Source organism: Homo sapiens, chromosome 2 (genome assembly GCF_000001405.40).
Source record: "Homo sapiens chromosome 2, GRCh38.p14 Primary Assembly".
Lineage (NCBI taxonomy): Eukaryota > Metazoa > Chordata > Mammalia > Primates > Hominidae > Homo > Homo sapiens.
The window spans coordinates 202038529-202064761 of NC_000002.12; the positions used below are offsets into that span (position 1 = coordinate 202038529).

At 42.1% G+C, this 26233-nt stretch overlaps 1 long non-coding RNA gene across 1 annotated transcript, besides 3 other annotated features; it reads right to left on the bottom strand.

Annotated features, from left to right (window-relative positions):
* Nucleotides 77–1276: an enhancer, noted in NCBI's record as "MED14-independent group 3 enhancer chr2:202903328-202904527 (GRCh37/hg19 assembly coordinates)". NCBI's record gives its function as "activates an origin of replication core promoter dependent on BRD2, BRD4, P300/CBP and CDK7 cofactors, and independent of MED14, by STARR-seq in HCT116 cells {active_cell/tissue: HCT116}" and the evidence as "EXISTENCE:reporter gene assay evidence [ECO:0000049][PMID:35650434]".
* Nucleotides 77–1605: a biological region, named in NCBI's record as "MED14-independent group 3 enhancer GRCh37_chr2:202903328-202904527".
* Nucleotides 950–1605: an enhancer, noted in NCBI's record as "NANOG-H3K27ac hESC enhancer chr2:202904201-202904856 (GRCh37/hg19 assembly coordinates)". NCBI's record gives its function as "activates a minimal SCP1, AML or CMV promoter by ChIP-STARR-seq in naive H9 embryonic stem cells {active_cell/tissue: H9 hESC(naive)}" and the evidence as "EXISTENCE:reporter gene assay evidence [ECO:0000049][PMID:30033119]".
* Nucleotides 966–16817, bottom strand: LOC124906114 (uncharacterized). Its single transcript, XR_007088053.1, has 2 exons — nt 16784–16817; nt 966–1158 (listed from the first exon to the last, which is right to left on the bottom strand). It is a non-coding gene; the product is annotated as an uncharacterized LOC124906114 (long non-coding RNA).
* Between the last annotated feature and the right edge of the window lie 9416 nt (nt 16818–26233).

Below are 26233 nucleotides of genomic sequence, written 5' to 3' on the forward strand. Positions count from 1 at the left end.
CATTGGGTGTGTCCCTCAAAGAGAATGGTGTATATTATTGAGGTCTTTTTTGCTCCCGCCTTTAAGATAGAGTATAATGAATGCCTTGACTGTCATTTAATTTTTTTTTTCCTGTTGTTGCTGCTTCCTGCCTTCCTCCACACCACCCCACTACATACCCCTAAGCCTTTTTACATCCTGCTTTGGATGACTATTGAAGGTATTGAATAAGCATCTCTTTTAGAGAAGTGCTGTCTGATCTATGTTTTTACTGCCCTTAGGAGATGAAATCCATATTCAAAAGGGACTAGAAGATAGTGTTTATATTTGCTGCTTTTTTTGGTAGTGTTTCCCTTGTGAAGAATACAGTGAGTTTTTGGGTGTTTGGTTTTTTGTTTTTTTTTTTAAACTGATCAGTGTTTTGGTATTCTAATGTAACTTATGTAGATTGGTAATCCTTAAATGCTTTGGGTTCAGGTGCTAGGGAAAGTCAGTGGATACTTCGAGATTAGAAGCCTTGCTTGTGGAGTGTTCTCAGCTGAAGGCTTCCCTCTACCTTCTAGGTAAACCAAGCAGAGGTCAAGCAGCTCCCAAGGTGGCAATGACTCAGCAGCTCCGGCAGCAATAGACTCCATGCCTGACCCTGGGATGGCCTCTGAAGCCACTGAAGCTATTCTTTCCTCTTGAGAAGAGGCTAACTTTGGAATCAGATTAGACAGGGAAGCCTTCACTAGCCAGAAACTTTGATATGAAAGAGTCCCTCGGGAATGGAAAAGGCACTTTAATACATCCAATTCTGAGCCTTACTAGAATTTTTTTTCTTTCCATTCACCTCTCTTCTTTAATTCCGGTGCCTATTTCCTGGCTTTTTCTAGTACAGTGGCTTCATTCCCTGGCAGCCGTGGGGACTCAGGAGCAGACTGGGTGCTGCTGTTTCTCTTGCCCCGCTTGGCCTCAAAGTTTCTGTAGTTCTAAAGTACAACAGAAACAGTTCTGTTTTTGTTTTAATTAACAGGCTCACACACATGGCTCGTGTGTTTTTCAAACGCATGAAATGAAAACCAGTGACAGTTCTCGCAGGAGCAGGAAGCCGCATGTATACAGTTCGTGCAAAGCAGCTTTTCTTTAAGATCCTCCCGGGTTTTGAGCATCACAATGGGTATGTGAGGTCATCTTAACCTGTGAAGATTTTGGCATCAAGGAAGGGAAAACAGTGATTGTAAGTCTCTGAAGGTTTACCCAGTTTTTGTTCATAAAATGACACCTTTTAGGTTAAAGCATGCCTCTCTTAACACCACACTAATACCGCCTGTTAAGAATGTTTGCTTTTAGAGTAGGTGGAAGGCTCCCAACGGGGTTTTTTCCTTGCAAATTAACTGCTGAAGGCACTTAGACCCTTCTACAGGGAAAGCCCAGTGGCTGCTCCTCTGAGTGTGTCCCCTTCGTTTCATCAGCACTGCCTTGTCTTTCAGGGCTCTCAAAGATTGAAGAGTGTTGGTCTTTAGTAAGGGAACAAAGACGGCAGATGAATACATTGCTACCTGCTTTTTTTTTTTTTTTTTTTTTGGTAAGCAAAGATAAAAGTGTTCAGTTTAATTCCCTTCACATTGTGCTGTGTTCTTATGCAGTCAATTCATACCTAGGAATTTTAGAAGCGCAGGGATTTTTCTTAAGGAGGCACATCTCTGCAGAAAATATGTGAGGGAGAGTGTTTGTGAAAGAGCATGTGTAGCATTTAAGAAAAACATTGGCAGGAGTTTGGTGTTAATCCCCAGATAAGGAGTAGAAACACTTGTGAAAATTTTCTGCAGTTTATAAAACAAAACTACTCTGTACAACAACCCCATGCAACACCTATTCTTTTTAAGTAGGTATGTGAGAAATCTTGGCAAGAAAAAAATAAAATAAAAGTCTGGACAACATCTTACCATTAAAATACAGAGAGAGAATTTTAAAATGTGCCTAAAATAAAATAATGATATTAGAAATCATCTGGGTAGAACTCTAGTAGTATAACAGCTGTAGGTTTGAGCCCTGTAATTATACTGGGAAAATCTCTTCTAACTCTCCCATCTTTAATTTCACTGAAAAGGCAGGTGGCTATTTATAGATGGTATATTTTTATATATGCATACGTGAAGGGTGAATAACAGCCTACGGGGCTCCAGGAAATCCTAGAAGGGTCCAAACCCACACCAATGTGGACTGAAATAAGCAATTCATAAATCTGTTCTATTTTTCTCTGATTTACCCCCCTCAGTGGCATTAAACCGAATTCATAAAACTTGGTTCTTCACTTCTCCTCACTGTGTGACATTTCTTACATCTGAATCTGTGTTCTTTACATTTCATGCTAAAGTAAACTAGTTAAAAAGGGTACGATTAAAATGCCAGCTCTTTAGTAAACACACATTGTGTCTCTTACTCTCTTTGGTTCTTTAAAAAAAAAAAAAAAGATCTAGTCACTTGGAATTTTCTCAATTTGTGGATTTGTAGTAGAAGGAAAAAAGGAAGTTTGACCAAGACAATAGTTGTTTATTATAAGGGACCCAGTTCAACAAGTACTGATCAAGCAGCCACTACACTGAAGGTACTAGGAAAAGGACTGGAGGGACGCAGATCAAAGTAAGACAAAGTCCACCTGAAGTAACTGTCAACATAGTTGGAGTAAGGAGGGTGTCCCCCAAGGAAGAATAAGCAAAGAACTTTAATGCTGGATAGAACCTGGCACATGTCAGTGTAGAAGCACAAATGCTGTTTGGAATAATATTACCTGACATTTGGTGGCATTTACTGTTTTTAAAAGCTCTTTTCACATTCACTATTTAGCTTGACTCTCACAATTATTACAACCCTGAAATGGCAATAATTTCTCTTTTAAAGATGAAGAAGGCCGGGCATGGTGGCTCACGCCTGTAATCCCAGCACTTCGGGAGGCCAAGGTGGGCAGATCACCTGAGGTCAGGAGTTCAAGACCAGCCTGGCAGACATGGTGAAACCCCAGGCATGGTGGTGCATGCCTATAATCCCAGCTACTGAAATTGAGGCTGAGACACAGAATCACTTGAACCTGGAAAGCGGAGATTGCGATGAGCCGAGATCACGCAACTGTACTCCAGTCTGGTCAGGAGAACAAGACTCCATCTCAAAAAAAAAAAGTTGAAGCTATTGTGAGGAATTCAGATGTACCTTAGCTGAGGGTTTACTTTACTTTGTAAGGACCATTTAGGGAGCAGAAGCCCACCTCTTTTTGGTCGTTAAGCTTCTTTTAATGCTTTCCACCTGTAAAGCTCTTTATGCTGGTGGGCCCTGGCATCAGATTCAGCTTAGAGTGTAAGAAGTGGTCTCCAAGAGATGTGCATCTAACGAGCAAGAAAGGAAATTTGGGAGGCAGGGAAAAAGTGGGGAGGAGTGAGGAGATAGATAAAGTTCTATCTAGGCCATGAATAAAGACAAGTTGTTTGAATCATCTAACCTAATACTACTTACCCTTAGAAAATCTGATCCCCAAACTTCAGCTTGGCCTTGCAGAATCTAGAGGCTAATTGAATTAAAAGGAAAAGCATGCCAGGGAGAGTATGGTGGGACAGAGACTAGGAAATATGGTACCAGCAATGAAAGCATATGCGGCATAACCTAGCACCGATGACATTTTTCAATTTCCAAAGGAAAAAAACAAATGGCATACAGCATTTGGTTCCAGTTTCCAGGCCTGGAGTCTCTGGAGGGAGGGTTGGGGGTGGCAGCTGGTCATAGCAGCTTTTTGCAGCAGACATAGGGAACACATCCTTAGCTAAAATCATGAATTATCTTCACCTCCAACAGATGGTTTCTTGAGGACCTACCACATGCCAGGTGCTGTGCTAGCCCTGTGTGTTTAGCACAGTGGCTGCTGGGACTCACTCTCTCCAGTCTCAGCCAGTGCATCAACCCACAAACAGCACACCTCGCTTATTTCCCACACTAGCTTCTGGAGGGGGATGAGGACAGTGGGCCAAAAAACACTGTGCTTTTCATTTCAGAAGTGTCTTTGTCCCCAGGTTCCTACAGTACTAATGAATAAATAGCAGCATCTTGATCACGTTGTAAAGATGGGGAAACCAGCACCGTGAGTCTAAAAGTAGCTTGTGCCGTGTCACAAGTAAATTATAACAGGCCAAGCCACAATGAAGGATCCACCCAGGTCACCCAGTGACTCTGAATTTAGTCATCTTTCCCCCACAGCCGTAGGTTTTGAAGATGTGGTATGGTCTAAAGGAACCTGAGAGGGGCAAGGGAGGGGTGGGGTATGGGGACCAGCTTTGTCAAGGGAAGCAGGGTGGTACAAACATGTCACCAAGGACAATAAAGATTAGCTGTTTGTACTTTGTTGATAATAATGATCATTGTCTTTATAATTGCTAACATTTATTGAGCATTACCTGTATGCTAAGTCTTGAGTACAATATGGTATAGTGGTCAAGATAGCTCACACGAAGCCTAAACCATAGTACTTGGCATCTAATAAGTGATCAATAAACATCAACATTATTATTCTTATATAATTATCTCATTTACTCTTCACAATATCCCTAGGAGATAAGTATAATTATTCCCCATTTGACTTGTAAGGGAACTCAGGCTCTAAAAGGCAAGCTGGAGAGCCGCAAAATTGGCTCCAGTCTGTGCCCCTAATCACCATGCCACAAATATTTACCAAGGTTTTAATGCCTGCCATTCTCTATTATTATTCTCAATTTAATCCAGAACCATTCAAAAAGGAGGAAAATAACTTACATCAGGACAGAATGGAATCGAGGAGGGGATTTTCAGTGTTAGTCCCCAGAATGTATTTATTTTTTTCTTGGTGAGATGCAGAAGGCTTGTAAATGCTGTTTACATTCTGAAGTGCCAGATGCTCCCCAGTCTTGTCCTGCCTAAGTTTCTACATTGGGGTCCTAGGGCCTGGCAGCAAGAGGGAGCTTGGGAAGGTGCTTCCCAGACACCACGTCTAGCCCCTCAGGAGTTGGTGTCCGAGTCCCTAAGAGGCCTCCTCCACTGCCACAGGCCCCTTCCCTGCCCATTCCAGCCCTGAAGAACAGGGCAGGCTCAAGGAGGGTGGGACAGGGGCTTAGTGAGAAAACTTATCCTTCTTGCAGAACAGGACAGGCTGTCTTTCTGCTAACAGTGAGTCAGTGAGTGGGAAAATGAGGAAGACAAACCCCAGCACCACGGAAACCCCCTTCCTGAAGGCCTGTGTGAAGAATCACAAAAACATTCACGTGATTCTTATCGTATATGTCCTATCAATATCATCATAATGAAATGGCGACATTGATAGCTGTCACTTAATGTGTCAACTATGTTCTGTGTTAAGCACTTATATTAACTCATTTAATCCATACATTGTGAGATGGAAATTATTATTTTCATCTTACAGGCTTTCAATACGAACTTGTGAAGTCATACGGACTGTTAGAGTCGGACATGAGCTCAAGAGAGAGTTGTGCAAGTATCCTACCCTAAATCCCTTTTAATTATCCCCAGTTTAACAGGGCAACTGAGGCACAGAATTTAACTGGGCCTTAAGGAGGTACACTGGGGAATATTTTAGGTCTGCTTCCCATTGAAGTGCTCTTGGGAAACCATTCTTGGGCAAGAGTGAAAACAGTTGCAGAGAATGTAGTTAAATCCCTCTGTCCTTCCACCCTGACCCCAGGAAGTGTAAACTCTGAAGACAACACTCTTTCTGTTATTGTTATCCTTAAAAAAGAAAAAAACACATGAAATAATTTCACAAGTTTCAACAACAACAAATTCAGGGCATCTGCAGAGAAAGAAGTGGGTCATTGTCTTTCTTCTGGTGCTGAATGTCAAGGTAAAATAATATCTTGCACCCCCATTCCACGGTACCACCCCCTTCTGGATTTGTGGTTCTGGGGGCTTACAATATTTGCCAGCAAGAAAACTGAATTTCCAACAAAGGGAAAGTTCCAGTCATCGGGGACTTCATAGAAGAAATTGGTAAAAAGAAAGCGAAGTCTTTGCCCAGTACAACTGTCTACTAATCTGCTAGTTAAAGCCTGATGTTAGTTAGATATCATGGAGGGCTGGAGTCCATTCTTTAGTTTATCCAGGGCCTAGGTGAGCTCTAGATTGCTTACAAATTCTACATTCTCACAGAAAATCAAGCATGCATAAAAAAGATGAAAGGGGGGGATGGTGGTGGTGTGTGGTATGTGTGGTATATGTGCGTGTGTGTGCATGTATGTGTGTGTGTACTATTTCAAATAAAGGGGGATGGTGGGGGGGTTGTTCAAGCTGGATTTTGCTGCTCTAAAGGGGAGCAGATGATGAGGGCAAATCTAAATGTTCAGATAAGATCTTTTTCATTTTGTCCATTATTAAAAGACTATTTCTTACACATTCTCTCTCTCTCATGATTGACATTGAAATGCTACATTTCTCATTGTTACCTTCTGGGTCTTGTTCCATGAAGGCTGACATGGATGTCAAATGGATGGCATCTGACACCCTTACACAAAGACACATACCAGTCTGAAAGGAGATTATTTAATTTTTAGCAGAAAAGAATCCATTCTAAGGATGATTTATTGTCATTTTGATCACCATTTGTACTTACAATTCCAAGGAGTTAAATTAGAAAATAACACACTTTCTTTAGGAAAAAATATCAATGCCTTATTAATTTGCCACCAGTACTCCCAGCTTCCAGCATAGCAGGCATCTGCCAGTCCCTCTTGCACATTCTTCAAAGGCCAAACGGCTTGATAAAGTCAGAAGACCCAGAAAATGAGAACAACTGTTTCCAACCATACCATCCTCTCAAGCACAAAGAAGTTTCCTCTTGCCGTCAGCACAAGTGGCTAACAAAAAAGAAGGCTAAAAATTAAACTTTTCGAGTCCTTCATTCAGACTCCATTAGGAGCACTCCCTCTACAAAAGTGAATTCATGTTTCGTTTGAGGTGGGAATCTATTTCACTAGGAGTTAAATGAAACAGCAAGGAAATTCCGTTAGTTCATCTCTGATGACAGGAAGGCAACATACAATTCCTCCATTCACCAAGTGGTTTTTGGTCTACAAGTTGTACAAAATGTTTATTTCAGATAACTAAGTCCTCTTTCAGTGCAAACTACCACTATTATATATTTAAAACTGCTCTGCATTTGTCTCTCAGGATTACTAAAATCTGAGCTGTTGAGGTGACTACTGAAAAAAATCTAAATGCAATCTCTACTGTCCAATCAGAATGCTATCTAAATTGCTTTTTATTATTTAAATTATAAAACACAATTTCTAGTAGTGAGAACATTAGGTTTGGATATCTCTGAATAGGCATAGAAAGACTCAACAGGTTCTACCTCCAAGACAGTTACTGCATGGGTAGGAGTAAACATTAATATGTCTCTTAATGCTGGCTATTTGGTTTTAAAAATGAAGGACCCAGATATAGCCTTTTGCGTAGGATCAGCCTTTAAGAAAAATTACAATGGAGCTAGCCTCATTTTCCTTGGGGATGCTTCTTTTAACCTAGAGATCTTGGGGACACTTCTTTTAACCTAGAGATCTTTCTTACCTGTCACTCTCAACCAAGAAAAAGGAAACACAGAGATGGAATGCATTAAAAAAAAAAAAAGATCAAAGGGAAAACTCAGGAAAGAGAGGGCAAGATAGCAAGAGAGAATTCTGAACACAGCCCTGTTCCTGAGCCACTGACACCTTTATTCAATCATTCTTTTGACAACCATGAATTGACTTTCCATCATTACTCTCACTCCCTGCACCTGAGTTATAATAAGCAGTAACATGCATGAGTTTTGATGTGCCAGGCACACATGTAGAGTGTACTAAGCACTCTATACATCTTATCTCATGCGATTCTTTCAACAGCTCTCTGAGACACATACTATTATCCCCATTTTAAAGATAGGGAAAGCTGAGACACCAAGAGGTTAAGTAATTTGCCCAAGACCCCTCAACTCGTATGCGTGCTGCTTCTCTCGCTCACTGAATTTTTTTCCAGCCCTGACTACTAAACTGTTGATATCCACAGAATCAACCCCGTTTCTTTGAAATATTGCTAAAACTGCGATTAGCTTTTCCTGTGATTCAAGTACATCTATCCCAGTCATGTGTTACTCGTTAGCAGAAAATTAGGCCCTGCTTTTCCATGATCTACATTTAATGACCTCACCCCACGTGGCAGGGTTCCACAGGAGGATCATGGCCACCTGTTGGGCTGATAGACTGATGGAGCCACAGGGGGCTTGGACTTAGCTCATCTCCTTGTGTTCTTAGGTATAAAAGGCAGAGAAGCCTGATAAGAGCACCCCTGGGCAAGAGGCCTCTGGAGGTCGGCAGCGAAGTCCAGGCAACTCCCTGCATATGCTCCGCAGTGCTCCCCCTGTGCTCAGGCTCCAAACTCCCCTTGAAAATGAGAGAGTTGAGAGATAACCACAGATTCCCTAAGGAGGTTGGGAGTTGCTTGTAAAAGACACATTAATGGCTCCCTCCAAGCATGAAAAAAAGTCATCATTGTCATTCCAGTTTGGGGAAATATCTTCAGCTCAGCTCTTGGGTTCATGGTGCTAAGCAAGCCAAGGACACAAGAATGTCCCAGAGCCAAACTAGGGTCCTCCACCCTATAGTCTGAGATGTCCCTTTCCCTCCCTGGGGCATCCTGGGTAGGACAACATGGATGTTTAAAAGCCTCCTCATCCGCACTGTTGGAAGAAGAAGGTGGGGCAGGCATCTCTCTAACAGCCAGCCAGTTATTGTAGTTCCTTCTACAGGACTTGCCTCAGGGGACAGAGGGCAGATTACATGGAAAAAGACAGCCACGCTCTTCCTGATGTTGTCAAGGACTGGCATGCTCCATGGCCGTCCCCTGCAGTTCTGCAGGTTCTTGGTGTTTAAGAAGCATCGTGGACTACTGGGACAAGGTAATTGGGTTGAGATCTAACAGCTGGTATTATACATTTTACTCTGCTGGAATCTGCAACTTATCCTCGGCTGTGTCCTCTCCCTCAATCCTTACAATCAGCCAACCACCATAGATTCTGCTTCCTCCCCACGACCAGTACCTGTTGCTTTGATCACTCTAATGGCGCCTTAACTGGCCTCCCTGCCTCCATTTTGGTCCCTCCTCCAATTCCTCCACACCCTGTGCTAGAGGGAATTATGGCAAATGCAACGATGACAATGTCTCTTCCTTGTTTAAAACCCCTAAGCATGGCCTGCAAAGCCTTCCTTGATCTCTGCCTGGCTCTCCAGCCTTATCTCCCACTATTCCCGCTCTGCAGAGAATATTCTGGCCGTGTTGATCTGTTATGGTTGCCCTGCACACTCATGTGTCACAAGAATTCATTTTTTGATGAAAGAGAGAATTTGTGGCTATTATGACCATTGAAAGCTAACAAGCCCCTTATTGGACGCACTCCAGCCATCTTTGCTCCTACCGGAAAGGGGCTGGAATGCGAGTCCAGAAGGAAATCAGAGCGAAGGCCTGGACTTCCTCTACTCCTGATCACTCTAGGACAACTAAAGGAATCCTCAAAAAAAGGGGGCACTACAGGACTGAAAGAAGAAAAAAAAAGCAAATCAAAAAAGATTAAGTATTATTAGTACCTAAAAAGCAGCGATTTTCTTCTATTCAATTTCTAGTGCCCAACACAATATCCAGTGCATAGCAGATGCTCAGTGTGCTGGCTTAGTGTCCCCCCAAAATTCATGTCCTTCTAGAACCTCAGAATGTGACCTTATTTGGAAATGGGTCATCGCAGATTTCTTTAGGTAAGATGAGGCCATACTGGCCTAGAGTGGGCCCTTAATTCAATATTACTATTATCCTTATGGGAAGAGGAAGAGAGGCCAGGCGCGGTGGCTCACACCTGGAATCCCAGCACTTTGGGAGGCCGAGGCATGTGGATCACTGGAGGTCAGGAGTTCGAGACCAGCCTGGCCAACATGATGTAACTCCGTCTCTACTAAAAATATAAAAATTAGCCAGACGTGGTGACACACGCCTGTAATCCCAGCTACTCAGGAAGCTGAAGTGGGAGAATCGCTTGAACCCGGGGGGAGGTTGCAGTGAGCCGAGATCATGCTAATGCACTCCAGCCTGGGCGACAGAGTGAGACTCTGTCTCAATAAATAAATAAATAAATAAATATAAAAATAAAAAAGAGGAGGAGAAGAGATGCAGAGAGAGACACAGGGAGAGCACCATGTGACAGAGGCAGAGATGGGAGGGATGTGTCTACAAAGCCAAGGAACACCTGGGATTGCCAGCAACCACTGGAAGCTAGGAAGAGGCAAAGAAAGTTCCTCCTCTAGAGCCTTTAGAGAGAGCATGGCCCTGTTGCTGCCTGGATTTCAGACTTCTAGCCTCTAGAACGGTGAGAGGATAAAGGTCCATTATTTTAAGCCACCCAGTTTGTGGTAGTTTGTTACAGCTGCCCTACAAAGGTAATACACTCAGTGAATGTTTGTTGGATAAATAAATAAAAGAATAAATGAACAGATCACCTGTGGGAAATTATTTGGAGCTAAATAAAGCATTAACACCCTTAGGAATATGACTTATACTCCCAGCTACTCAGCTGAGGCTGGAGGATGGCTTGACCCCAGGAGTTCGAGGCTGCGGTGAGCTATGATGGTGCCACTGCACCCCAGCCTGGATGACAGAGCCAGACCCTGAGAAAGAAAGAAGGAAGGAAGGAAGGAAGGTAGGAAGGAAGGGAGGAAAGAGAGAGAGAAGGAAAGAAAGAAAGAGAAAGAAAGAGAGAAAGAGAGAGAAGAAAGAGAAAGAGAGAGAAGAAAGAAAAGAAGGAAAGAGAGAAAGAGAGAGAGGGAGGGAGGGAGGAAGGAAGGAAAGAAGGAAGGAAGGAGAAGGGAAGGGAAGGGAAGGGAAAGGTGAAGGGGAAGGGAGGAGGGAGGGAGGGAGGGAGGGAGGGAGGAAGGAAGGAAGGAAGGAAGGAAGGAAGGAAAGAGAAAAGAAAATCTGATGGAAACTATGAGCTCAGTCCCCAGAAAAATACAAGTATAGTCATACACACAGAAGATTTTAGACAATGTCCTCCTAACCCACTCCCACTCCCACAAAACCCATTTAACCAAGATTAAGAACTCCTGAATTAAAAGACACAGGTAGAATATTTAGGATTTTTCACCTTTTCTTTGAACACACTGAAAACATAAAGGCCTGAGAATGGTGATGGACTGTAGGAGAGTAACCTGGCCCAGAAATGCAGAGACCCAAATTCCAAATCCAGCTTTGCCATCATTCAGTTCCTTTTGTTCACTCTTCTACTCACTCCCAACCCCAGTAAACTATAGATGCTTTTAGGGTCAGAGGACAGGCTAATGAGATAATGCTGGTAAAGCACTTTGCCCCCAAGAAAAGGTTCCTATGTAAACACAAGATATTATTAGACATTATCAAACTTTGGCTGGGCCAGCAGTGACCCAGCCACAGTGGTGAGTCCTCTTCCTTATCTACTGTTTGGCCAAATTGGGTTTTTCTCCAAGGCAGGAGTGTGGGAGGTCTGCTGCTGGCTGGTGTTGGGAACTTTGATAAGTGAACCCTATCACATCCCCTTAAGCAGTGCAAACAGATCATTTGACTACATTTGATGAAAGGCCTCATCCTTTGCTAACAGTGAGTCCCAAATCTCTTTGTGCGTACATATTGAACAATCTTCAGAAAATCTTCAGGGAATCTTCCTTTACTGTGTGCGTTAACTTCAATGCGAATTATTCAAATATATCAACAGGAAAATAAATCTTATTTCATGTTTGGTGGTTGTGATTTATTTATTACCTCTTAGGAATTATTACATAGGATTTCCCCTTTATTTCTGCTGTTCATGGCCAATTTGAAAAAAGAAGAAAATAATGATACCACTGGTTTCAGGGATATTGGTTTCAGAACTTATTAAAAATAAAAAGAAAAGAGTAATTTCTACAATTAGTAAATTGCCATCAAACTGAAATGCCTTAAACTAACATTTCCTCTCCTTCCCCCGCCAAAAAAGGAAAAAAAAAAAAAGTAATTGCTCAACTTCCACAAGAATTTTTTCTAAAAATCTCAAGGCAGCTTTTTTTGCTTCATCAGAATTGACAAGGAGGATATAGTAAACTGAGAGAAACATAAAATAACCACAATAATTCTCATCAACACAAAGATGACATAGAATCTTAACAAAGACCCTTAAGGAATCCCACTACAAAGGAAAAGGAATTCACCCATAATTACCCACTTCTCATGCACACTAAGGCTATCTGACATATGATATTAGCCAGCTCTGCATTCAGTCATACTACCAAATTTCAACAGTCATACTTTTCAATCAGAAGAATGATCTTTCAAAGAGATTGTTGAGTTTTAACTGTGTTGTGTATGAGAATCTTCTCTCCCCCTTCCTTCCTTCCTTCCTTCCTCCCTCCCTCTCTCCCTTCCTCCCTCCCTCCCTCCCTTCCTCCCTTCCTTCTTTCCATAAGCACCTATTGATCACCTATTATGTACCAGGCATAATGCTAAGTAAAGGTGAATAACATACACCTGTTACCTATAAGATGAGTATTTAAACCATTCAGACAGCAGATCTTGATACTTTTGGATGGGCAAAGATGCACCTTGGGAAGAGGATATTGTCTTCTATATTGGGGAAGGAGGGGTAAGGAAGGAGCAAGAAGGGATCGCTGGTAAGAATGATTGCACTTGGAAGACAAGTTTGTCTTCAGACAAGTTTGAAAGGCATAGTTACGATCCACTGCTAATATTCTTACCATTTTACTTCCTCTCCTTCTTCCTCCTGTGGATCAAACATTTAATGGCTACTCAGAACCACCTTAAATGACCTCCACTCTAACCTATGATATGTGATCTATGTGTTTGTACGCAGGATACATGTATTTATATCACAGGCTCAATTATGAAGGTGTGCTGTTTCAAAATCTTTTTTTCCTCTCCAAATACTGTGTCCTAGGAACATTCATGCCTTATCAAAAAGGAGTAAGGATGAATGAAAGAGAACCCCCAGTAGGTTTTAGAAAAGGTATACACTGAAATTGTTTAAGTACACATTTAACATTTACTAGAAATAGCTCTGATTGCAAGAGAAAATTAAAGTAGACAAAAGCCTATAATCAGATTTATGCTATCTGATCATGTAATTAGACCTGGCTTTTAGGCCATCCTAACAAGTTTATTTGAAAAGGAAGAGAGATCATTGTTTATTGGAACGGCAATAATTTGGGTTTCTTTAATTGACTCCTGGTGTGAATACGTTGATGCCTGCTGCTAAGAGGCAACATGGAAAGTTTCCAGGAAAAGTTCACATTCCAGGAGAAGCTTTGGAATCTACTTTCCATTGCAACCCAATTCAGCCTTTGGGTTTGAGTTTGTAACAAAACACCAGCTTTCAAAGGCAGCCTCACCAGGCAGCAGCCTCCACAGCAGTGCCAGGGGCTGGGTAAGGAGCCCGGCACTTGGCTGGCCCATCAGGATAACAGAGGGTGTTTCCAAAATCCATCCTTCCCCATGTCCAAAGCACTAAGGGTGCCGAAGGCTGTGGCTACGAGAGCCAACAATGATTCAGAAACTGCCCTAACATTCTGATATTAAGTCAGCCCGAGAGAGGCCGCGATGAAGGCAGGAGGGGAGTGAAAGAGATTTCTCCTTCCAGTGCTCCCAAATTCCCAAAAGCAGTGTTGCCAGTTGCCTGCAAAAAATGAATATACTCCCTAGAAATTTAATAAGGTACAAAATAAAAATAATCCATAACCCACTTGTAAGCAGAGGCATGTTTCAAAGTTCCTCACTACTCTCTGCCCTGACAAATTGACATTTTCCTTATAGGGAGTTTTAGGAGAGAAGGAAGGTAGAGACTGGGGGTCCTGAAAGAGGAAGTGGAGATTTCAAAGACTGGTTTGATTCTGACAGCCTAACTGATACCAACTCTCTCTCTCTCTCTCTTTTGCTTTCTCACTCTGTCTCTCTCATAACAACTACCATTTGTTCAGCACATCCATGGCACGTATTACCTCAGTTCATCCTTACAACAACCTTGCAAAGTTAATGGTATTATTCCAATATTACAGATAGGGAAAATGAGGTTCAAAGAGGTTAAGTAACCAGTTCAGGATCATAGGGTAAATTTAGCCAGGATTTCAACCTAAACCCGTCGGACTCCAAAATCCAGTCAGCTCACTGCCATCCCAGAGTACCTGGCTGCACTCTTCCTGCCATCCCCATGGCTTGGCCAAGGCAGGCAGGGACAGCAGTGGCAGCCAGTCGTCCTGCGCATGAGGTCATATGATGTTTTACTCTCTAAATCAGTCTCTATTTCCTATAGCTCTCTCTGGAAGAGATCAAGCATTTTTATCCCATCTTCTTCTTTTTTTCTATTTCGGTCTTACCTTTCCAGGAAATGGAGAGCCATTGGCCAGAATAGAAAACAAAAGCAACCCCATGTCTCCATCTGGCCCACAGGTTCCCTTGAGGCGAAGGATGTGGGGCCAGGCTGAGCCAGAACAGGTGAAAAGCTTCTTCTCTCCACACATTTTTTTTTCTTTTCTTTTTTTTCTTTCTTTTTTTTTTTAACGGAGTTTTGCTCTTGTCGCCCAGGCTGGAGTGCAATGGCACAATCTCAGCTCACTGCAACCTCCGCCTCCCAGGTTCAAGCGATTCTTCTGCCTCAGCCTCCTGAGTAGCTGAGATTACAGGCATGCACCACCACACCTGGCTAATTTTTAGTAGAGACAGGTTTTCACCATGTTGGCCAGGCTGGTGTCAAACTCTGGACCTCAAGTGATCCACCTGCCTTGGCCTCCCAAAGTGCTGGGATTACGGGCGAGAGCCACCATGCCCAGCCTGAGAGCCACCTTTCAAAAGCGCAAATCCAATCAACTGTGCTGCTTCAGAACTTGTGAGGGCCCCCCATGGAGAACCCCTTACACTGACATACAGGCCCCACCTGATCTGGCCTCTACCCACTCCCACCTTCACCCCTTACCTTCTTCCTCCTTGCTGGTGTCCCCAAGTCACACTGGCCATCTTTCAGGTGGTGAGCCAAGCACTCTCTTACCTCGGGCCTCAATCTGGGAATGCTATTCCTACCCACTCCACGCGCATAGCCCAGCAGGCTTTCTCTCTCTATGGTTTAAGCTGAAATGTTCCCATCTCAGAGAAGATTCCACTGACTCCACTATTTAATTAGGTACCTCTCCATCTCCATCATTCTTCGGCTAAGTTCCCTATTCAATTCCTTTTTGGAACTTACTACAACTTATATACCTTTTTTCTTTGTTTGTTTATTGTCTGTCACCCCATCCAGGCCCCCAGCACAGAGCCTGGCACATATTAGATGCTCAAAAAAAATTTGTTAAATGAATGAATGCACGAGCTTCAAAAATTGTTTGAGTTTTCTTGATAGGATGGCTGTGACAATCAAAACTAATTGCATCCAATATACATCAAAGATACAAAAAATTGCATCTTTCAAGAACTACAAGATGCCACTTTCTGCAGAAATGCCAATACATAATTACAGGAAAGAAAAAACTCATGATTGGTGCAAGAAAAAACTGACCAAGCGTTATCATGTAATATTTTAATGATCCGTTTATATGTCTGCTACCCCAGTGGATTCTGTGCTTTCTGAGAGCTGGAACTGGGTTTTGTTTCTATTTTATGTCCAAATCATAGCACAGTGCCTGGCATATACCACTTGTTCAATATCTGTTTGTTAGGGGGAAAGAAGGGAAGAAAGGAGAGAAAGAGAGGGAAAAGAGAAAGAAGGAAGGGAGAGATGCAGGGAAAAAAGGAAGAAAGAAGGAAGGAAGGAGAGAAGGAAGGAAGGAAGGGAGGGAAGGAAAATAAGTTTCAAGTAAGAATGTAGCAGTAAGCCTAAGAAATGCCCAACAGATTCTTTACAACTGACAATTATTGAGTCGTAGGATCTCTGAGCTGGGAATGACCTTTATTTGTCTAATTCCCCAGTTGAAGATTTGAAGAGAAATTTCAATGCAGAGAGACTAAGTGGCACATAGCTAGTTAAAACATAACCAAGATAAGAACTCAGGTTTCCTAACCCCAAATCTATACCATGCAGGTTCCTTCTGGCAGAGAACTAATAGGCTGAAACTACAGTCACACAAATCTGATTATTTGGGGCAAGTACAAGAGGGTTTCTAGTAACTTTGCAGTTGCAAACCCTGATGCAGCTGAAGCCTCTTGATGAAGCCCTGAGAATCTATACGAATCAAATCCAAGAGCTGTGTGCCCTGCATGAGCTCATCCCACTTCCAGTCTCTTGCTGAGAGGCTGTCAAGCTCTCTGCAGAAGAGTGGCGTCTGGGTGTTTATACATGGATGTGCAGCAGTGACACTGTAGACATCTTCTGTGTAGTGTAAATATGAAGTGGTCATCTTAGCAACCTTCCTTCCTCCCTCCTCCAGCCACAATGCACCTGGTAGCCACGAACCCTACCATGTTGGTATAACATGGACAAATCATCACAGTTGCTTCCTCTGAGCAGTCCCCCAGATTACAGTTGATGTGAGGTTAAGTGGCTGATCCAAACTAGACCAAGTTGGGCTTCCCCTGAAAATTACTGGAATTGAAAAGAAGTCAGGCTAGGCACAGTGGCTCACACCTGTATTCCCAGCACATCCTTTGGGAGGATGAGGTGGGAGGATTGCTTGAGGCCAGGAGTTCAAGACCAGCCTGGACAATGTAGTAAAACCCTATCTCTCAAAAAAAAATTTTTTTAATTAGCTGAGCATGGTGGCACACATACCATTGGTCCCAGCTACCCAGGAGGCTGAGATAGGGGGATCACTCGAGCCCAGGAGTTTGAGGCTGCAGTGAGGTCTGATTGCTCCTCTGCATTCCAGCTGGGTGACAGAATGAGACCCTGTTTAAAAAAAAAAAATGAAAAGAAATCAGTCTCTCTTTAGGTCCCCAGGCTGTCAGATGAGTCTGGATGCCATCCATGGCCATCTTATGGGCCTCAGAAATAAGAAGCAGCAATAACACTAATGCCACCCAGGTCCCTGATCCTACTGTTCCTGAGATGCAACTCAGTGTCATCATCAGCATCATCATCAATCATCACTAACCCTTTTTCTCTAATATGGCCTGCATTAAGTTTCTGTCATTTGTAATCAAAAGGGCCCTACTAATAAAATACACTATTTTTTAAAAAACTTCAAAGAATAATTAGACTAAAAAGAAAAAAATGAGACTTTCCTATATGCACTTCTTATTGCCTAAAATGTCTCTTATTCTGGAAACTATCCAATAATGCCAACTTCTAAAAAAAAAGTGGTAATTGGGAAAAGGGTGGGAAATAATAAAGCAGATAAAACGGTAGATTTGGCATCCCCACAAGTATTGTGTGTCCGTCTGGGTCCTCCAAGAAGCGGATGCCAAGACAGGATTAGGTGTGCAAGAGATTTCTTGAGGAAAACACCTGTGAAGGAAGATGAGGAAGGAGCCAGGAGAACCATGAGACTGGGCACAGGTCCGCCTTGGGCATAGGAGAGAGGGAAGGAAGGTTGGATGGAAGTGTCTCAGACTGCTGTGCAGTTCTAAGAAAGTTCCTCAAGGATATCGGGAGTTCTTGAGCCAGTCACCCATCAGAAGAGTCCCATATCTGCAGCATCTCCCAAAATGGAGCCTGGCTACCATAGCATCTGTCATACGCAGTCATTGGCTGGGAGCAGCCTGTGAGAACCTTAGCCTCCAGAAAAATGTGGTGATCAACTCAGAGCATAGCAGCTAGAACCCTCTATCAATTACACTCCTCAAAATTAGAGATCTGAGGGGTGCCTTTTCATGGCCACCACGGGGTGCTGTTCTCTTCGCACGGCCCCATTCAGTACCTGTTTCTTCAACATCCTCCTGAAAGCCACCTACTCCTCTGTCCTGATTTATACCAACCGAAGTGCTCTATCCCTCTCTGAATTCCCAAGGTATTTTCTTGTCCCTCTCTTACACAGCTTCATGCTTTCTATCTTGCATTACTTTCTACTTCATATTGTGTGTGTATATATGCAGCACACTCAGATACAATGAAACCTTGAAGACTATTCTGGAATGGGTCTGAGGTGGGGGTGGAGGCTGCTCACCTCATCTTCTTACTCTGGGCACTGGAATCTTGATCTGAATCCTCAGAGTTTACCTCATTTAGATATCTGCTTTATTCCCTTTATTCTCAGACTCTTATTTGCTCACATTTTAACATTTCTAAAATTGGAGTGCAGCTTATAATTTATGTCAAAAGAAATTTGCCACCTGCTGGCAGGAGAGTGAGTTGAGAAGGAGTTGTTACTGTCTGCCTGTGGGAGAACTTAGCGAGGCATATTTACAATAAGTGAAGCAAATATTTATTGCTGAAGGCATGACTACACTTTCATGTCTTTCAGCGAAACATCAGACAAGCACTTCAGAGGACACAGGAAAAGGACTGCCAGTCTACACTATGGGCACTGTAATTATATACAATAAAAATTGACAGATATCTCAGGAGAAATAGCAGAATTTTTAAAGTTACAGGAGTTTGGTGTGATCGGCTCATTCATTGAAAAGTCACCCTCAGGTTCCAAACATCTTTCAGAAGCTTCTGGGTGACTTTGGGAAGAAGGTTTTACCCTATAGAAAAGAATAATTTAATTAAGGGAAGGACAAAACTATGAGTTTAACCAAACAGGAAATACAAATGAAACCCTGGTGTTCCACAATATGGCTAAAAATTAGACTGCCTAGCCTACATTTGCTAAGGAGGTCAACATCACCAGCCCACGATTGGAAAGTAGAGAATCTCCATGATGCTATGCACAACTGCCAATGGTTACAGATGATTCCCATGATGCTATGCACAACTGCCAATGGTTACAGATGATTCCCATGATGCTATGCACAACTGCCAATAGTTTCAGATGATTCCCATGATGCTATGCACAACTGCCAATGGTTACAGATGATTCCCATGATGCTATGCACAACTGCCAATGGTTACAGATGATTCAGAAGAATCCACAGACTACACCTGAAAGAGGTTTATTATCAAACACTGAATGAGATGCTGAAAAAGAATATATGGATAAATATTATTTTTAGTGTTCATATTTATTATAGTGGTTTTTACCCCCTTAAAACCTGTTATTAAATCAGTAGTGTACCTAAAATACATGGCATCTTGGAATTGAGGAACTAGAGTTAGTATAATAATCAGTGGCATAGTTCTTTAACTTTTGGCTTTAGGTTGATGCCAAAAGGAATTGTTAAGAATGATTAAATCCACACCCTGTAAAGAGAATTCCATACAGTTTACAATATTGAGTTGGCAAAGATCAGTATAGGTAACACAATTCACTCTCCCTCCCTTGCCTATGGAAGACATCACTGAACATCCATGGAGCTCTTCTTTGCTAAGCCAGGAGTCTGCAGAATTATGCCCAATCAAGTCTTCTAGGCAGTCACTACCAACTGATTGAACTTGGTACATGATAGGAATCTTGGCTGCCATCCGTATGCTATATTCTTGTATGGAATGTGACTCTGAAGAATATACAAGGAGCTCTAATACATCTCTTTCTCCACCCTAAAGAGTTAGTGAAATCCAGCCAGAGCAATCAGACAAGAGAAAGAAATAAAGGACATCCTGATTGGACAAGAAGAAGTCAAATTATCCTTGTTTGCAGGAGATACGATCTTATGTTTAGAAAAACCCAAAGACTCCACAAAAAATAACTACAGCTGACAAGTTCAGTGAAATTGCAGGATACAAAATCAACATACAAGAATAGTAGCATTTCTATATGCCAACAGCAAACAATCTGAAAAAGAAATTTAAAAAGTAGTCCCATTCACAATAGCTACAAATAAGATACCTAGGAATAAACTTAACTAAAGAGTGAAAGAGCTCTACAATAAAAACTATAAAACATTGATGAAAGAAATCAAAGAAGACACACAAAAAATGGGAAAATATTCAATGTTCATCGATTAGAAGAATCAATAATTTTAAAATGTCCATACTAGCTGGGTACAGTTGCAGTTGCCTGTAGTCCCAGCTACTCGGGAGGCTGAGGTGGGAGGGTTGCTTGAGCCCAGGAGGTGGAGGCTGCAGTGAGCTAAGATCATGCCACTGCACTCCAGCCTGGGTGACAGAGCAAGACCCTGGCTCTAAGAAAATAAATAAATAATAGAAATGTCCATACTACTCAAAGTAAACTGCAGATTCAATGCAATCTCTATCAAAATATCAATGACATTCTTCACAGAAATAGAAAAAAAAATCCTAAAATTTATATGAAACCATAAAAGATGGAATAGCCAAAGCAATTCTGAGGAAAAAAGAACAAAGCTGCAGACATCACATTACCTGACTTCATATTATACTAAAAAGCTATGGTAACTGAAACAGCATGGTACTGACATAAAAACATACATGTAGACCAACCGAATAGAGAACCCAGAAATACATCCACACATTTATAAACAACTTATTTTCAGCAAAGGTGCCAAGAACATACATTGGGGAAACCACATGCTCTTCAATAAATGGTGCTGGGAAAACTGGATATCCATATGCAGAGGAATGAAACTAGACCCCTATATATCACCATATACAAAAATCAAATCAAAATGGATTAAAGACTATGAATCTACTAGAAAAAAACATTGGGGAACGACTCCAGGACTTTGGTCTGGGAAAAGATATCTTGAGTAAGACCTCAAACCACAGGCAACCAAAGCAGAAATCAACAAATGGAATCACATCAAGCTAAAAAGCTTCCAGGACAGGTGTGGTGGCTCACGCCTGTAATCCCAGCACTTTGGGAGGCCAAAGCGGGTGGATCACCTGAGGTCAGGAGTTCAAGACCAGCCTGACCAACATCATGAAACCCTGTCTCTACTAAAAATACAAAAATTAGCTGGGCGTGGTGGTAGGTGCCTGTAATCCCAGCTACTTGGGAGGCTGAGGCAGGAGAATTGCTTGAACCCAGCAGGCAGAGGGTGCAGTGAGACGAAATCAAGCCATTGTACTCCAGCCTGGGCGACAGAGTGAGACTCCATCTCAAAAAAAAGCTTCTGCACAGCAAAGGAAACAATCAACAAAGTGAAGAGACAACCCACAGAATGGGAGAAAATATTCACAAACTACCCATCTGACAAGATATTAATAACCAGAATATATAGAGAACTCAACTCTATAGGAAAAAATCTAATAATCCAATCAAAATGGTCAAAAGATCTGAATAGACATTTCTCAAAAGAAGACATACAAATGGCCAACAGAGATACAAAAAAATGCTCAACTTCACTAATTATCAGAGAAATGCAAATTAAAACTACAATGAGATATCATCCCACCCCAGTTAAAATGGCTTTTATCCAAAAGACAGGCAATAACAAAAGCTGATGAGGGTGTGGAGAAAGGGGAACCCTCATATACTGTCAGTGGGAATGTAAATATGGTTAACAATAATACAGCCACTATGGAGAACAGTATAGACATTTCTCAAAGAACTAAAAATAAAACTACAATATGATCCAGCAACTCCACTGCTGGATATATTTCCAGATGAAAGCAAATCAGTATATTGAAGAGATACTGCCATGTTTATTGCGGCACTATTCACAATAGCCAAGATACGGAATCAAACCTGTTTCCGTCAACAGGTGAATGGACTTTTAAAACATGGTGTATAGACACAATGGAATAATATTCAGCCATAATAAAGAATGAAATCCTCTTATTTGCAACAACCCGGATGGAACTGAAGGACATTATGTTGAGTGAAATAAGCCAGGTACATGTTTTTACTCATATGTGGAAGCTAAAAAAAAAAAAGAAATCAAACCCATGGAGATAGAGAATAGAACAATGGCCACTAGAGGCTGGAAATGGTAGTGAAGAGAGGGGGTTACGGAGAGGATGGTTAATAGGTACAAAAATACACTTAGATAGAAGGAGTAAAATCCAGTGTTCCGTAGCACAATAGTGTACTATAGTTAACAATAATGTTCTGTATATTTCAAAATAACTAAAAGAGGAATTAGAATGTTCCTAATACAAAGAAATGATAAATGACTGAGGTGATGGATACACCAATTACTCTGATTTGATCATTACACATTGCTTTCTTATATCAAAATATCACATGTGGGCTGGACACGGTGGCTCTCACCTGTAATCCCAGCGCTTTGGGAGGCCGAGGAGGGAGGATCACTTGAGGCCAGGAGTTCGAGGCTGCAGTGAGCTGTGATCATGCCACTTCATGCCAGCCTTGGTGAAAGCACAATTCTGTCCTGAAAATAAAAATAAAAATAAAAATAAATCACATGTATCTCATAAATATGTACAACTATTATGTATCCATAATTATACATTTTTTAAAAAGAATTCATGAAAACTCACAAAAATGTGGTCAAAAGAATAGTTTGAGGATTAATTTGAAATCTTTTTGAAGGTTCTGGGATTTCTAGATCCAGTGTCCCACATTGCTTTGGGCTACCCCACCTGGTTACTAACCACAAAAAGTTCTATCTTTGTTTATGTGTGTATATATACACACATAAACATATATACATACAAACAAACATACATACATTGTTTATGTATTATATATATGTTTATGTGTGTGTGTGTGTGTGTGTGTGTATATATATATATCCTTTAAGTACCACTCAACTTTCAATTGATGTATTTAAAACATTTTCTTCCTGCTGGGCACGGTGGCTCACGCCTATAATATCAACACTTTGGGAAGCCGAGGAGGGTGGATCACAAGGTCAGGAGATCGAGACCATCCTGGCTAATAGGGTGAATCCCCGTCTTTACTAAAAATACAAAATAAAAGTAGCTGGGTGTGGTGGTGGGTGCCTGTAATCCCAGCTACTCGGGAGGCTGAGGCAGGAGAATGGCGTGAACCTGGGAGGCAGAGGTTGCAGTGAGCCGAGATCGCGCCACTGCACTCCAGCCTTGGGCAACAAAGCGAGACTCCATCTCAAAAAAAAAAAAAAAAGATTTTCTTCCCTAAAATATGCCCTACAAATGCTTGCTATCCATTCTACTAACTAATGAAAATGGTTGTGTGGTTCTCTGTCTTTATTCTCTGGGTCTTTTTTTTTTTTTTTTGAGACATTCTCGCTCCGTCACCCAAGTTGGAGTGCAGTGGCACAATCATAGCTTACTGCGGCCTGGAACTCCTGGGCTGAAGCGATCCTCCTGCCTCAGCCTCCTGAGTAGCCTCTTGGTCTTTCATCAAAGTGTGCTTTCCTTTATTGGGAAGGATAATAAGCACTTCCTGCTTAGAGTCCAAGCTGAAAATGAGTCCCCCACTTCAGAGGGTTTGAATCCTCCTGTGTCACACAGTCAAGTTTCCCCCAGACAAAGGCCACTTGGGGTATTACTATTTAATCATGGTAAGCCTGAGATCATATAGGTCCAATGTAGCATGTCTTATTTTCCCTTAATAGGCTGTGAGCTTCCTCAGGCTAGGGACTATTTATCTATTTACCCCTATAATACTATTCAATCTCTCCCCCAGAACATTCATGTAAAAGGTGCTCTCTCTATATATATACATATGTGTGTGTGTGTGTGTGTTGTGTGTGTGTTTAATGAAAAACTATTTTATTAAGACCAGCCATGAACTATTTATCTATTTATCCCTATTATACTGTTTAATCTCTCCCCAAAACATTCTTGTAGAAGGTGCTCTCTCTCTCTGTCTCTCTCTCTCTCTCTCTCTGTGTGTGTGTGTGTGTGTGTGTGTGTGTGTGTGTGTGTGGTTTTGTTTTTTTTTTGAGATGGAGTGTCGCTCTTGTTGCCCAGGCTGGAGTGCAATGGCGCGATGTCAGCTCACCTCAACCTCCACCTCCCGGGTTTAAGCGATTCTCCCGCCTCACTCTCCCAAGTAGCTGGGATTACAGGCATGTGCCACCATACCCGGCTAATTTTGTATTTTTAGTAGAGATGGGGTTTCTCCATGTTAGTCAGGCTGGTTTCGAACTCCCAACCTCAGGTGATCCACCCGCCTCGGCATCCCAAAGTGCTGGGATTACAGGCGTGAGTCACTGCGCCTGGCCATATGTGGTTTTTTTCTAATGAAAAAACTATTTGACTAAGATCCATCAGGGCCTCTCTTGCCCCCCTCTCACGATGTGACATGCCGGCTCCCCGTTCACCTTCCACCATGATTGTAAGCCTCCTGAGGCCCTCACCAGAAGCAGTTGCTGGTGCCACACTTCATGTACAGCCTGCAGAACTGTGACCCAAATAAAACCCTTTTCCTTAAAAATTAAAAAAAAAAAAAGACTCATCTGGAAAGGTCTCAAAGGGGAGAGAATGTGTCCACTGCGCTGGGCTATACTTCTGTTACAGTCTAGGTAACTCTAGAATCTGACAAATCAATAAAGAAATTTTGTTTCTGTAAATATTATCTCCTTCTCATCTCCATCCCTAGGAATCCATAATATTTGAGGAATTCTTCAGCCTAAAAAATAAATAACCACAGAGTGCCTTTCATATGCAGCATCTGTGATTCTTAATGCTGGCTGAACATCAGAATCACCTGTGGAGCTTCTAAAACCTATCAGTACCAGGACCCTATTCCAGAACAATTCAATCAGAATCTATGGGGGTGGTGCACAGATACTTCATTTCTCTTAGTCCTTGCAACACCTCCGTATGAGAGGTGCTATTATCCCCATTTTCCAGTGGAGGAAACTGAGGCTCAGGCTAAGCGAGATTAAGGCTTGCCCATTACACATTTAATAAGGGACACACAGCCTGATTCCCAAATAGCTCTCAAACATACATTATTTTGGTAAGTGCTGTTCATAACATATTTTAACAACATGTGGATATAGAACCACCAAGAGCCTTTATCCTGCTAAGCTGTGGACAAGCCAGTGGATCAGACGCAGAGAGACATTCATCTGCCTACACAGCAGCAGGAAAGGACCTGTGCTCACTTCCACACCGCAGTTTTTACTCTCAAGCAGAGCAGTCACAAACCCTGTTTCTTTGACTTGTCAACTCTTTCATAACATCTCACCACCAAGACCAAGATAGCTGTTTTCTTTTTTTTTTTTTTTTAATTTTTTTGGTAGATATGGGGGTGGCAGTCTTGGTATGTTGCCCAAGCTGGTCTTGAACTTCTGGCCTCAAGCAATCCTCCTGCCTCAGCCTCCCAATGTGTTGCAATTGCAAGCATAAGCCACTACACCTGGCAACTTTTCTCTTGAGGAATCAGAAGGTTAGAGCAGCACAAATACTAGAGCGGATGGCCAGGCCAAAAGCCAGCATTTTTAATAAATATTACTGTGAATTTTGAACACTTTTATTTCCTGAATATGCTATGTACTTAGATTTCAGTGAGCACGAGTGCATGAGATGAAATTTGCTTTAAAAAGACAGAGTCAAATGGACTGACACAGGTGAACCAAAAGTGAGAATAGCTTGCCTTCTTTAACTCCACTTTGTTGCTTCTCATTTTATTTATTCCCTAAACAAAACAAGAAAACTCAAAGTGGTTCTCAGTAAGACTGAAGAATTCCCCTAAGAATTCCCATCTTTATGAGTTACAGAATCGAGTCAACTTTTCTTTTTTCCGAATGCTGCCTGAAGAGCTACTTTTCACTGCTATTCTGAGCAATTCTGGAGCTGCTGAGATGTCTTGGGGAAGGGTGGAGCAGCTGCCAGACTCCTCAGGTTCTGATGGAGGCAGATGCCTTTCCCCAGCTTGTTGCTGGCTGGGAACAAGCCTTCCACAATATGGATTTCATTGTCTGAACTCCCTCAGCTCAGCAACGCCCCTTGTCAGAGCACAGAGCCCACAGTTATATCACAGATTAGCCCAGGAAACAGCTAGTCATGAATCACAGAGGCTCATGGATCTCTGCCGAACAAAGAACTCCAGCTCTGGGAAACTTTCTGGCCCAGCCTCTCCCTCTGTCCCAGTGGAAAAGCAGGTAATTTCCCACTGGCCCAGTAGAAAACCAGTGCAAGGTTCATGCAAGACAGGTGGACTTAACCTGGCCATTTCTTTCTTTTTCCTCATCTACTAATGCTGTTTTCATACCAACTGCATCCTAAACACAGAGTTAAGATGGTGATTCATAGTGGTGGTGGGCGTCTCAGTAGGAGCTTTCTTAAGAAGAAAGGGCTTTGAATGAGCCAATGAAAGCTGTTGCCAGGGAACCAGATGCCATGAACAGGCCACTCCAGCAG